The following is a 14,269-nucleotide window of genomic DNA, read 5'->3' as shown; positions in this document are numbered from 1 at the left end:
AAGGGATGACTTCTGGGGTATGGCCTCCTACTGTGTAGTCAGTCCATCACTTATAAATTATTACCTTCTGTTAATGATGGCTAGGGCTCTGTGATAAATTCGTATCTAACAATGCTTCAGCAGAACATATACATGATCTGATAAGATTGTGTGCCATTGATAAGTCTGTGCCTTATGGCTGTATGGAGGCTGAGGTGGGCAATGCAAGGTCATCATGCAAGCTCCCGGATGTGCCATCAGTGAGGCATGAACACCTGGAGGCCCTGAAAAGACTGTGAGGCACTGTGAGGAACTGGCTTTTACCTTGAGTTCATACAGCATCACAGGCTTTGGAGCCCAGGTCCAGGTCACTCTTGTTGTTATTAGAATAGACCATGGAGGCTCAAGGGCAGAAGCTGGGAGACCAGTGAAAAGCTGTCGCTATAATCTAGGTGAGGTTCAACGGTGCCTGGACCAGGGAGGCAGTGGAGGAGAAGGTGAGATGTGTTTTGAAATTGAACGGGAATAAGGTGGAAGAAAAAGAGAAGGAGCCAAGCATTTGGGCCTGCCCATCTGGAATGCAGCTTCCAGTTAGAAAGGGAGTCATGTGTATTAGCATGATGAGCCTGGAGCCATACTGCTCTGGCTTAATTCCTGATTCTGTTATATACTTCCTGCAGCCTCAGGCAAGTTACTTTTCTGTGCATCACTGTCCTCATCTATAAAGTGGAATTACTGATAGTATTTCTTTATAGTGTGGTTGTAATGCTTTCATCAGTTACCATACGTAAAACATGTAGAAAATATTGTAAACATTGCGATAACATTTACATTTATTGTTTACTGAGATGGGGAAGACTGTATGGGGGTATTTTTGAGAGAAAAATTATTGATATAATTCTGCTTCCATGGTAGCTCATCATTGATGTGTCTGCCAGCCTTATATGTCTGCGAGCCCCTGGGGAAGGTTAGTAGGGGTCTCATTCTAGGAAAACACCTTGTGCAGCCCCTGGAATGGAGGAAAGCCTCCAGCATGCCTGCTAAGAATGTACAGTGTTGGTGGTCCAGGGGATAGCTTGAGGCGGAGGCTTAACTTCCTTCTTCTCTTCTCAGTCCCTCAGATATCATGAACAGGAAAGGGAGGTAAAAAGTCTTTTTCCTTTACCAGTCTTAGGTTATTTGCTGGGGCCCTGCAAATCAGACTGACAGAAGACGGCGTAACAGGAGAAAAACAGATTTTTCAGCTTATTATCCTGTGCAGGGTACAAGGAGGAATCTTAGTGATGAGTAGCACAAAGGGATGGTTAGAACTTGGGCTTACATAGCATCTCAGCAAAGAGCAATGCCTTTGTAGTGGTGACAAGACCGTTAGCCTTCCGAGGCAGAAGGTTAACACATGGGGGCGCTCATGGAGTAAGGTTTGCTTGTGCAGGTCCATCTCAGTGCCGACTTTTTGTTCTTTTCATAGCCAGAAAACTTCCCTATGAAAGGAGTTGATGGAAGTTCTCATTTCTCAGGAGTTTCTGCTTTTACTCAGATCAGGGTTGTGCCGGGAAGGCACATGCATCTGTTGGATCTCATTTGCCTCCAGTTCAAAATAACACTTATGCCAAAGTGGCTTATGTTGGGGTGGCATATTTTGATCTTCAACAAACGTAACATTAAAAAATTAAAACACTGGACTTGCCACAGACATTCATTTCAACACACCCCAAATAAATATAGAATCCTATAAAAGAATAAGTAAATGCAGTTTAAAGAGTCTCTCAGCCTCTGTTCAACCAGAATGGCCCTTCTTAGGACCTACTGAGGAAATCAGGAGCCACTATTGCCGAAAAGGCCTTTGCAAAAGAGCGCTGAATCTGGCTGGTAACTTGTTCGGAGCTTTGAGGATGGGCAGATTTCCAGTAAGTCACTCAGAGTCCTCTAAATATAAAATATTCCATTTTGGCTGGGCGCAGTGGCTCAGGCCTCTAATCCCAGCACTTCGGGAGGCTCAGGCGGGTGGATCACGAGGTCAGGAGTTCAAGACCAGCCTGGCCAACATGGTGAAACCTCGTCTCTACTAAAAATACAAAAGAAATTAGCTGGGTGTGGTGGTGCGCACCTGTAATCCCAGTTACTCTGGAGGCTAAGGCAGAAGAATTACTTGAGCCTGGGAGGTGGAGGTCGTAGTGAGCTGAGATTGCACCATTGCACTCCAGCCTGGGCAATAGAGTGAGACTCTGTCTCAAAAAAAAAAAAAAATCCTATTTTATTTGTTGGTAAAATTAAAATGATTTTGATGCTGAGTAATTTAAGAATCAAGTCAATTTTCTTCTCCCTGTGAAGAACTGGGATAATATCCGTGGATTACTGGCCTTTCTTAGCCTAGTGTTTGTTTTGCCCATGTGTAGGAGTGGGTTAAGTGATAAGCCAGGGTCAGGCTCTAGGACAAAGGATGGCTTCTTTAGATAAATGAGATTCCTTCTTCAGTACTAACAAGTCTTATTCCAGGAACCATCTTGGACTAGCTCCCATATAATTCCCCGTTCTTATATCTTCCCAGTAGCCCATTAGCTGCTCTGGGTTTGATTTTGACCTACTTTGATGGCTTTTGTGTTTTGAATCTACCTGGATTTCAGCATGAGTCTCACTGGCTCTGCCCACTGAATTTCTGCCCTCACACTTCTCCCATCTCATCCTTTCACCTGATCAGTTGTTGGAACCAAATATTCACCCTAAGTTAGGGTATAACTGCAGTTTATACTACAATTTTATATATATTTTATTACATTTATATATATATACACAATTATATATATGCAATCTTATATATATGATATATCATATATAATATATTATATATATCATATATTTTTATATATATGATATATATATAGATGCAATAAAATTTAAACTTTCACCATGATCAGGGGCCCTAGATCTGAAATCAGACTAGGTTGATTTTGCATCTCAGTTTTGCTGCTTGATCCGTGTGACTTCGAGTGGATTGAAAGGCTATTCTGAGTACATTTTGCTGCCTAAATTGAGCATAACAATATTGAATGCCCTACGGGGTTACAATAAGGACTAAATGACAATGTATATAAAGACCTTATAGTGTTTGGCATATAGTAAGTATTTGATAAATATAAATTTTAATTTTTGTTATTATGTCAATTCTCCTACTAAGACAGACACTATGAAGGATGTTCATTTGAAGCCGAATCCGATGATGTATTCTCTCTACTACACATGGGAGGAAGAGCTAACAAGTTGTAAACATTTTACTTTTTAGAAATAGGATGCCATCTATTTAACTGCCCTTGCTGCTTTTGACAACCTTTGCAAATCATTGATGGAGACCAAATCAAGGACAGAATCCCTGTGCATGATGGAGGAGCAGCACCTGAATCAGTCTGGTGCCTTTCAGAGGCTACAAGGCACAGAGAAAGCTTAGCGTTCATGGTTCATTGGTGTTGAAAAAAAATCTCGAAGCTTGTCTTGTGCAAACTCCTCATTTCACCATTGGGAAACTAATCTGGAGAAATTAAATATTGTGCTTTGGGTCACACAGAAGTGTTAAGACCAGAACACTCGTTCTGTGATACCAAGTAAGGTTGGTGACCATTCTTCTCCATCACTGGTTCTCAAATGGTGGTCCCTGATCTAGCAGCATCAGCTTCACCTGGATGGGAACTGATTAGGAATACAAGGTCTCAGTTTTGTCTTAGGCCTGTTGAATGAGAAACTGTTGGGGTTAGGCACAGGAATCTGTGTTAAAAAAAAGCTCCAGGTAATTTTGATGCATAAGCAAATTCGAAAATTACTACTGCTCTTTGTTGTGTTTGTACTTATCATTTTTCCAACCTATTAATATATATTTCTGCATATCAAGATAGAAATATAAGGAAGCCTGAATATAACACATAAAAAGAGGAAAAAATAGACATCTTTTGGTAGTATCCAAGACACACACATACACAAACTTTTTGTTTTCCCACAGAAGACAAGTTATCTATTTATTTTACCATCTTTAGGTCTCTCTACTAAGAGAGCAGCTCTCTTCTGTGATTTATTGCAAAGATACAAGTACATTTCCAGTTTCAATATTATTGCCTGGATGTAGTAATGACTATTGGCTCTTTCAAGCATGTAAACATAAAAACACCAGAGAAGGCAGAAGGTGTATTTGTTTGAGAAATATTATTGTTTGGTCCAACTGTTTTGTTATTTTTCTCCAAAAATATGACAACATGAACAAGTAATGTGAAAGTGCCAAGAAATTGATGTTTCATGGCAAAGCCAACAGTCTCTGGAATGCTTAAATCATGTTACATAGAGCTATCATTTCCTTCTCCCTGAGCATCTGTAGGTGGTGCATGAAAGCAGTTGAGTATAATATAATAATGATTTTTCATAGGTCTTTCTGGATGGATCTTTCTCACTCATCATCAGACTCCATAAAAGTGTCTGGTGATATTTTAGCTCCTGGAGTGTTTTGATTATTTTGTATGAAACTTTATAGCCAAAGCATTGGGTTTCTAACACTCTCACAACTAAAGAATAAAATAGTTTGATTATTTTTTAAAAAGTTTGAGATGAGCTGGTTTAGGGCATTGATAGTCCTTGGAAAACATTGCTAGGCTTCTACAGGAATATCTTTACAATTTGGGGTAATTGGGCTGCCATTTTGAGGCTTAAATTGGAGTTTCAATCTTAAGGAGGGATTTTGGATGTGGATCATTGATTATGGGAAGAATTACATATATTTGCAGCCTTCTAACCACTTCACACATGATAATAATTATTCTTGCTCTTCTCAGAATCTTCATCATCATCATCATCATTAACATAATCACAGCTGACATTTACTGAACATTAGCAATGTGGTAAGCACTGCAGTAGGAGTTTTCACGTGTCTACTCATGTAATCCTCAATGCAACCTTAAAGGTGAGTAATGTCATTACCCATTTTATAGATTAAGGAACTTAAACAGAAGGATAAGGTTAACTAACCCAGGATCACAGGGGTAGGGAGCAATGCTCAGGATAGAAGTCCAACATGTTTGTCTCCAGAGCACTCTCTTAACCTCTATATGCTGCTGTTTTTTCATTTCTTTAAACCTGATGTCACTGCTAAATTATGTGTGATTATTTCCTCTATATGAGAAAACAAGGTTGAGAAAGAAGAGAAGCCTTCGTAAGGTCATAGGGCCAGCAAGTGGAAGGCTGGTCTGTGTGGCCATTTGCAATCCCTGCACTGCTTTTCACAGTGCCTTGCACACACTTCTGGTGTCTTGTGTTTTTCTATGTCTTGCCTTTGGTTCCAGTGTGTGGTGATTTTCACAACATTTGTCCAAGAACCATCTAGTCTTCTAATGTTCTGGCCTTTTCAAGTGAAGAAATAGAGAATGTGGCTGAATACTGAGACTGTGCTAAGAAAGATAATACAAAACTTCTGATTCCATCAATAATTATTTTGTAGAAAGTGTGACTAATGGTCCAGAGGGAATAGAAAGCTCAGTTCCAGTTTGACTCCCTGCTGTTTATTTCCGTGTGATGGCAGGTTGTTCATCAAATCAATCTCTGCTTGGATTTATAATGGTTGCCAACAGATACACTTGATATTACTTTTTAAAATAATAAATAAGTGAGTAAGTATTGTCAACTAGTAGACATTCATAAATATGTTTTGGACAAAATAATGACCTTAGACCATTTCACTTCAACCTTCTTTCTGCAGAAAGTGAGATGAATATGACTTGCAGAGGTGTAGTGAGAATTAGTCTGTACACCTAAGGTGTAGAGCCCACAATTTGTTACCAAAGAGGCACTCAAAAATGGCAACTACTGTTTGCTATCAGAAACCAGTTGCCTCAGAGTGTAGGTTATCTAGTGTCTCTGTCTTTGAATACAAAGACTGAGTGTGGGAGAATGTTTATTCACTTAAATTTAGCTTTCTAGTGTTTTACTTTACAACTTCTCAAGTCCAGCTAATAATCCACCTTCCCATTAGCTGGATAACTCTGAGGAGGTAGGATTGTGCCCCTTTCTCCCTCAAATGCTGCTGTGAGGCCCAAAGAATTGTGAGCTGAGCATCTTACTATGTGTTTTGCTTTAGCTGGATTTATGTTGCCACCTGGTATAAAAAAAGATGGAAAGCAGGCTCTTGATTTTATCCCCTAAACTTTGAGGAATTGGGGAAGATTTAGGATAATTGATGAAGGGAGTTTATTACTTAGTTTATCCAGTGCTCCTGGGTTTTTCCCAGGAGGTCTGGAAATGGAACCCATCTCTGCTCAATATTCTAAACTCTCCTTAACTTCCTACCACTGAATATCCCTCTGGTTTAAGTCAGTCTTCTCCAAAGCAGGGTGTGCACACTTCAGGGCATGGGAGATTCATAGAGTTGGAGGAAGAATATATTGAAATTTTCATTTCCATTTATTTTTGTTTCAGCAAAACTAACTTAGCCATTATTATCTTTAATGCTGGTATTCTTCCTCATGGCCTTTATGTTGGTAGGGCTGTCATAGCTGTCATGCCATTTGCTTTTGGTGAATAGTGACTTATGGAAGATTTTTTGGAATCAGCCAAATGGATTTGTGAGTTATAGTAACCACCTTTACCTAAACTAACCTAAAAAAGTAGACAACAACTTAAAAAGTCCTGCAAAAACAAACAAGCAAAACATAGTTGAATATTGGTAATTGAAGCACAAGCAAAAGATAAGAAAGTAGTCAAATTGACCCTTACACTCTTGGTATGAGTTCCATGTCAGCCATCTCATGGTAAAATTAATGACAGTTTCGTTAGTTCTGACAAGATGCCATTCTAATAAATTAGAAATGCAAGGTTAGTTACATCCATTATTGTTGATACTTCCCGCTCAAAGTATATCTTATCTTGAGACTTTAGCTAATGATAGCAGCACACCTATACAATTTACCAATAAATAAGGCAACACACCAAATCTAGTATTATGTCCTTTATTTCCTCTGTCAAATTAGTGCCTCTAATCTTCCTAATCTTTTCTTTCAATCCTTCTCTTTGTAGCTAGGCTCACTGTTTACAAACACAAATCAAATTGCACCAGACCCACTTGCTCCCACTCCCGGTTTAGAACTCTGCAGCTGCACTTGGAATCAAATTAAAAGTCTTTACTGCAGCTTGTGAGGCCTGGGATCCAGGTTTATCCTAACCCTTCAACTTCATCACATACTCACCTTCCTTTCTGCTACCTACTTTATGGTCACCCTGTTTTTTTTCTCCATTCCTAGTACAAGTCAAGTTCTTTTCTGTCTCAGGATAGTTGCACAAGCTATACTCCTGATAATAGCTGCCATCTCTATTCCTGTGGAGTTCAACTATAAATATGTCCAAATATGTACATTTCTCATAGTCAGTGCTAAGTGCAGCAACTCTTTCACTTTAGAGGTTATAATCTGCTTAACCAAGACCGCTGATCTCTGGAAACTTCACTAATGAGTTATGCCTTTGAATTTCATGTGTTATTTTTTCTCACTCTTACAACAAGATAACTGGGCTATTTGGTATTTCCTGTTGCTATCTATATAATTTACTCACCATACTGGATCAGATGATCAAGGTCTGCCCACTATATAAGGTAAAGGAGGACAGTTGTCATAGCCAATGACTAGTTAGCCAGTAAGGATGTACTGCCGTCTCTGCCAGGTGAAGGCAAACCACTTCTACTTGTATTGACTAATTGAGTTCGGGGAAAAGTGTATTCCTAGTAAATATTAGCATACCAGGTGCTAGGGGTTGTGTTGGTCTCTTCAATAAATACATTACTTTTAAATCACAGCTTGACTAAATTTATAACAACTCACAGCTATTCTTTTTTTTTTTTTTTTTTTTTTTTGAGACGGAGTCTCACTCTTTCACCCAGGCTGGAGTACAATGGCACAGTCTTGGCTCACTGCAACCTCTGTCTCCCAGGTTCAAGTGATTCTTCTGTCTCAGCCTCCCAAGTAGATGGGATTACAGGCATGTGCCACTATGTCTGGCTAATTTTGTATTTTTAGTAGAGACAGGGTTTCTCCATGTTGGTCGGGCTGGTCTCGAACTCCCAATCTCAGGTGATCTGCCCACTTCAGCCTCCCAAAGTGTTGGGATTACGGGCGTGAACCACTGCAGCCGGCCATCACAGCTATTCTTAAGTGTCATTCGGATTCACCATTCTTGCATTTTAAAAGTCCTTTATGGTATCACTAAGCTATGCTATTTCTCCCAGAAGTACAGTATTGCTTTTGATTTACCAGTTTGTCTAGAGGCGGAACAGGCAGGTCCAACAGCTCCACTTGGCCCTTTCTACCATGGTAGTCTTTACTCCAGACTGCAGGGGATCGACGTGGGAGTAATACCAGTTCTAAATGCATTTATTCCAATTATACCTGCAGAAACCATGGACATACCATAAAATAGATCTGGCAGTCTACAGGGCCACTGTGAGACAAATTTAGATATACTCTTTATTGAGCATCTTCCCATAAATCCTCACTGTAACCATTCAACCATTGTGTTCTTAGGATAAGTGTCAATTCAGAGCTAACACCTAAGAACCCCCTGAAGGTCTGGGCATCTCTCATTCACATAGTCAGTCTTTAAATAGATGCAGGTTACTCTGGGAAAGAACTGGGGAGATTTACAGCACATACTTGAGGTCAAGTTTCAGGATACTATCCCAATAGTTCCTCGACTCTCTCCTCACTCAAGGGGCTCAGGATCTGTAAACTGGCTTAGGTATGGGTTCTGCCTATGGATTTATACCAGCACCTCTGTGAAGTTGCATTTTTTTCCATCAGAGATAGTGATTTCTGGATTATATTAATCAAGTCATGTCATTTTTGGCCACCCATCTATTTTATTCATAGGAAGCCAGTAATAAGCCTCCACAGATTTCTAAGTGTCAGTACCCTCCGATTGCTACTGCATCTCTGTGGTCTATCACAGAAATTGAGCCAACTTTGTCTCTGATAATTAAGCCTCACAACTGGGTCCCTGCCACCCTGAAATAGCATCATTGCTATTGAAATCAGAACAGCCAGATCAATGGCAAAATCTCTCATCATCATTTCAAGGCTACATAGAGTAGCCACACAGAGCTCTTCAGAGACCCTGGGAAGACTCTCGCCAATCTGTTTCTCTTTGCTTTGCTATGGGGTGAGGTTAGGAGGTAGCTAAGCGTGTTGCACATGAGAGGTCCACTCTCCCATGTCCATCTACTTAAGCCTCCAGTTTCCTTAATTTACAATATGCCAAGGAAGCTTCCATCTCAACTGTGCTTACAGGCCACCACAGATGCAGGCTTCAACTAATCAAACAACCAAATCGTTAGAGCCACTCCCAGCTATGTGAGCTAAACAACAAATCCAAAATTTTTGAGGTAGTACATCCATCTTTCTCTTTCTTTCTCTCTATGCATATATAGATATACACACACACATGTATACATATACAGTGTCTTCCTTGAGAATATTTTCCATAATTCTTTTCACATTTATAGAATATACATTACATGATTTATATAAGATATTAATATCTTATATATCAGTAATATATACTATGTTAAAATATGTATACATATATGCATATAATTATAAATAATATTTAGGGGTATTAATTAGCAAGATCTTCCATTCCCTGGAGCAGTGATTAGACACCTAGAGACTCGTAGGGGAATAAGTGATTGACAACCCTAAAGCAGAGGGGCATGAGGAATTGCTGTGGGAGCTGAAGCCATGGAAGAAGGGCCACCTGGAGGCAGCTGCAGTTGTGAAAGGTCATGGCTGCTACCAGAGGCATGGTACAGGAGGAAGCAGGAAAGAATGCCCTACTCTCTGTCTTCTGGCTTCTGGTCTTTTGGTGATTGCTCGCTGGCTGAAACCAATTGGAAATCAATCAGCAAGGGAGCCCTAGTGATGTCCTTCGTGTAGATCAGCCTCTCAGGAAATACAGAAAGATAGAAAAGATTGGCAAATGGTCTAGAATGGAACTATGCAAATGGAGAATAACCAGCAATCCATTAAAAAATCAGAGTCAATATACAACATCCCAAGTTTACATTTCAGAGGCTCATACATTATAATTCTCATCAGTGAAACATGAAACAAAACTTTATTTGGAATTTGTCCAAGACTTGTAAAGTTACTCTTTGACCAAGGAAAATCTTATTGCTTCCTGGACGTAACTGAAGGTAGGCATTGCTCCCACAGCTGTAAACTTTCCAATTCCCCCCATCCCCGTTATATTGAGAAAACATTAATCTAGGCATTTTTATGCATTTCTGTTTCTGCCATGCCGCCTGGGATGAAGGGGTAAAGACAGATGTGTTGAGGGAGTTTACAACTCCATGCTTAAATTACTTCTTTTTTCTATCTCTTTAAATTCATGCCTTCTGGAAATCATATTCCTGGAAGTATCCAATTTTCATGCTTAATACAATTGTGATTAAGAGATATTTGCTTGTTAATGGTAACTGATAGTGTAAATCTGTTTGAGCATTGTAATGTTCATAAACTCTTCTCTTTGATACTGTTAAAGTATTACAGGTGTCCTTCCTTACCAGCTTTGTAACCCCAAGCAGAGCTCTGTTAATATTTTATTTATACAAGGGCATGAGTCCACAACCCTTTGGTGGTCGGGCCACCCTCGGCATGGAAAGTCTTGTTACAATAAGAAATATGTTTACATATGGTATTTCTTAGACCTTAGTAGAGATACTGATCTCCAATAAATAGAAGTATATACTGAAACAGAAATTAACAGACTATAATTATGAACATTTTTACATATATAAACATTATATGTTAACTTGGTAATTTTGGGGAATCTAGATATATAGGAAAACTAAAACATCATCTGTAATTCCACTATTGGGATGTTCATTATTAACATTTTTGTATGTATTATGTCAGTGCTTTTTTTTCTTGATGTACATATAGTTTACATATATATATTTCTATGTCTATATGTTATAAAATCTATATATCTTACATATGTTGATACATATATGTGATATAACATTGATATCAATTTGGAATTTTTTAAAATTACTATATTATTTGAATATATTTTAAATAATCTACAATGTAATCTTTAGTGATTTCATGTTGTTACATTATTTTAACTAGTCATAATTTATAACCAATTTCCTATTTTAAAAAATTGTAAACAGTAGTCTATCAAGCCCCTTAATTTTAGAAAAAAATTCTATGTATTTATAATAAATACTTTGAAGTAAAATTACCTGCAAGTGTACTTACTGAGTTAAAAGATTGCATGGATTATTTATTTTTTAAAGTTTTATGTACTAATGTAAAAGAAACACAATCAGTTGTTTTGTCTGCATTCATCATAGATATTTTTGTATGCATTGGATATGAAAAGTGTCAGAAGGTTTGAAACCCTGATGGATTATTCTGGGCAGAACATTTTCTTTTTTGACAGAATGGTTGGCTTCTTGGTCCTGTCTCTCTGCTTCATTGAGCAGGAGCGCCTGTTCTGTTTGACTTCATCCATTTTGAAGTTTCAAATGGTCACAACCTCTAAGACAGAGTGACAAAAGGCCATCAATCAGCATAAATTGGTGCTCATTCCACAGGTCTGATCCTGGGTTTGGAGAGACTGTCACTGGCCATTCCTTGGGATGTAAATTTGTCCTTCATATTGATGTAGCTAGTCCAGAGGCAGCAGGTCATAGTGCCTGGTAAGGATTCTAACATAAAGTGCATTTTTAAAAACCTGAAACACATGCATACAGCTTGAATTTTGAGAGCACCCTGCTTTCTCCTAGAAATTCTGTTCACTTGTTAGCAGGTCAATATCATTCTTGAAAGTATTGATTTTCATTGACCATATAACCATCCCTGTATGTCTCCTTGTAGGAAGAAACCATGCAGAGCTCGGATATTAATTTTCTGGTTGTCTTTAAAAAAATTATTACCTTTGGGCGTCCAAAGGCTGAGCTGGAGAGGCAGCATTAAAATCAATGCCAAAAAACAAAGAGCTTCTGGCTAGACCTTATGTTTGGCAATAGTAGAAGCAACTAAACAGCCTTTGTTTTGAATGAGTATAAAGAAAAATAATAATCTTTTCTGCGTACACTAATACCCATTCCTTCTGGGGAGAATGTCTTTAGTGATGATATAAGAGAGCAGATGCATGGCATGTGAGTGCATTACAGAATTTTCCTAAATGCTTCCTCTAAGCTGTCTGAGAGAAGGGCTTTAGGGTGACTAACTTCCCGTTCTGACTAGTGTAGGCTTGAGCTAGCAGTTCGCTGAGTGTGCTCTCTCTCTTTTCCTCCTTCCCTCTTTCTATCTGTTCCTCTCTCTGTCTCTGCTCCACCTCTCTCTCATTCTTCCCTCCCTACTTCTTCCTTCTGTTTTTCCTTTCTTTTTTCTACTTTATTTTTTTATTTTTTAAAATTGCAAACATAATACACGTTAATCACGTTAATTGTGGAAAATTTAGAAATGTAGAAATTTATGAAGATGGGAATTAGCAAAATCATCTGTAATCCCATTTCACAGATGAAATGCTTCATGTTGATGGGAGGGCAAAGGAGTGTGTGTGTACGTGTGTATGCACAGCCATGTTTGCACACATACACATACACACACAGGTATCCATATATAATTAGCCAAGATGGCTAGCATTAATTTTTTATTAACAAGACCAATCTGGTTGTTCTTAACTAGTAATTCTCCTTTAAGATAGGGAATGTTGTCAATAGAAAGTGTTTTGCCACTGAAAAATTAAAAGGTGATGCAATTTCTGAAAATATATTTCCAAAGAGTGATGTAGAGTCTTCTGTTTTAAGTATTGTTTTGAATGTGCTTGAGGAGGAAGGTGGGTAGTCTCAAAATATCTCTAAGGACCGCCTTGTTCCCTATTCCTCTGTCCCCCTGCCCTCCAGGCAGATGCCACTAATGTGCTATAGGAAAGGCTCCAAAGGGGTCATTAAGAAATGGCAGTTAAGGTTAAAGATGTTTAGAATGTGTTCAAGAGTAAAAATTGATTTGGAGACTTCACTTGGAAGTGTTAATAGCAAAGACTTGGAACCAACCCAAATGTCCAACAATGATAGACTGGATTAAGAAAATGTGGCACATATACACCATGGAATACTATGCAGCCATAAAAAATGATGAGTTCATGTCCTTTGTAGGGACATGGATGAAATTGGAAATCATCATTCTTAGTAAACTATCACAAGAACAAAAAACCAAACACCGCATGTTCTCACTCATAGGTGGGAATTGAACAATGAGAGCACATGGACACAGGAAGGGGAACATCACACTCTGGGGACTGTTGTGGGGTGGGGGGAGGGGGGAGGGATAGCTTTAGGAGATATACCTAATACTAAATGACGACTTAATGGGTGCAGCACACCAGCATGGCATACGTATACATATGTAACTAACCTACACATTGTGCACATGTACCCTAAAACTTAAAGTATAATAAAAAAAAATTATCTTAAGCCAGAGAGGCAGGCTCCAAGCACTATAATGCCCCAAAGGAGGATCTGCTCAGGACAGAGAAAGCACAACTAAGGATTAGCGCCTCTTACAGAAAATGCTTGGGAACACCATCTCTCCCTTCATCATCAACCAGGCATGCAGCCTGCCCAGGTGGTCTGAGCTGGGGACTGGCCATGCCTTCTGCTGTCCTGTGCTATTTAAAATAAAGAGACATAAAAAGAAGGCAGATGCATGTATGCAACCATCAGAGGTTGAAATGTGGCAGCTGATACAATGATCTTACTCTGGGTTTGCTGTATTTTTGTTTAATCGTAAATAGGAGTAGGAGAGAAATTCCCATGCCGGGACTCAAAATAGCAGTTACTTTCAAAGCTGTTACTGTTTTCTCTCAGTAGATGGCACTGTTTTGAATAACTACATTTTGGTTGAGTTCAATTGGAAAAGTGAACAGAATAAGGCTTCTTTGAATGAAGAAGAATGCATTGTCATGAACTCCAAAGCTTTGCTACCAAAGATAGAAATAGCATGGTAGCAAAAGTATGTTTTCTAGCTCCTAAATCAGCACTATTCTATAGAAATATATTGGGAGCTACATATATATTTTTAAAGTTTTAAGAAGTAACATTGAAATAAGTAACATAAAAGGTGAAATTACTTTTAATAAAGTATTTCCTTTAACCCAATATATCAAAAATATTAAAAATTCCACATGTAATCAATAATACAATTTTTAATGAAATATTTTGCATTCAGATGACTAGCATTTCAAGTCCTCAATAGCCAGTAGCTAA

General features: G+C 38.6%; 1 long non-coding RNA gene across 1 annotated transcript in view; it reads left to right on the top strand.

Annotated features, from left to right (window-relative positions):
• Window positions 1–14,269, top strand: part of LINC01594 (long intergenic non-protein coding RNA 1594) — a 50,094-nt gene that overhangs the window by 33,773 nt on the left and 2,052 nt on the right. The window contains exon 3 of the long non-coding RNA NR_131251.1: window positions 4,788–4,915. This is a non-coding gene — a long non-coding RNA (long intergenic non-protein coding RNA 1594). The remainder of the gene's footprint in view (window positions 1–4,787; window positions 4,916–14,269) is intronic.

This window comes from Homo sapiens, chromosome 2, assembly GCF_000001405.40.
Source record: "Homo sapiens chromosome 2, GRCh38.p14 Primary Assembly".
Lineage (NCBI taxonomy): Eukaryota > Metazoa > Chordata > Mammalia > Primates > Hominidae > Homo > Homo sapiens.
This window is presented reverse-complemented; position numbering and strand designations above follow the sequence as displayed.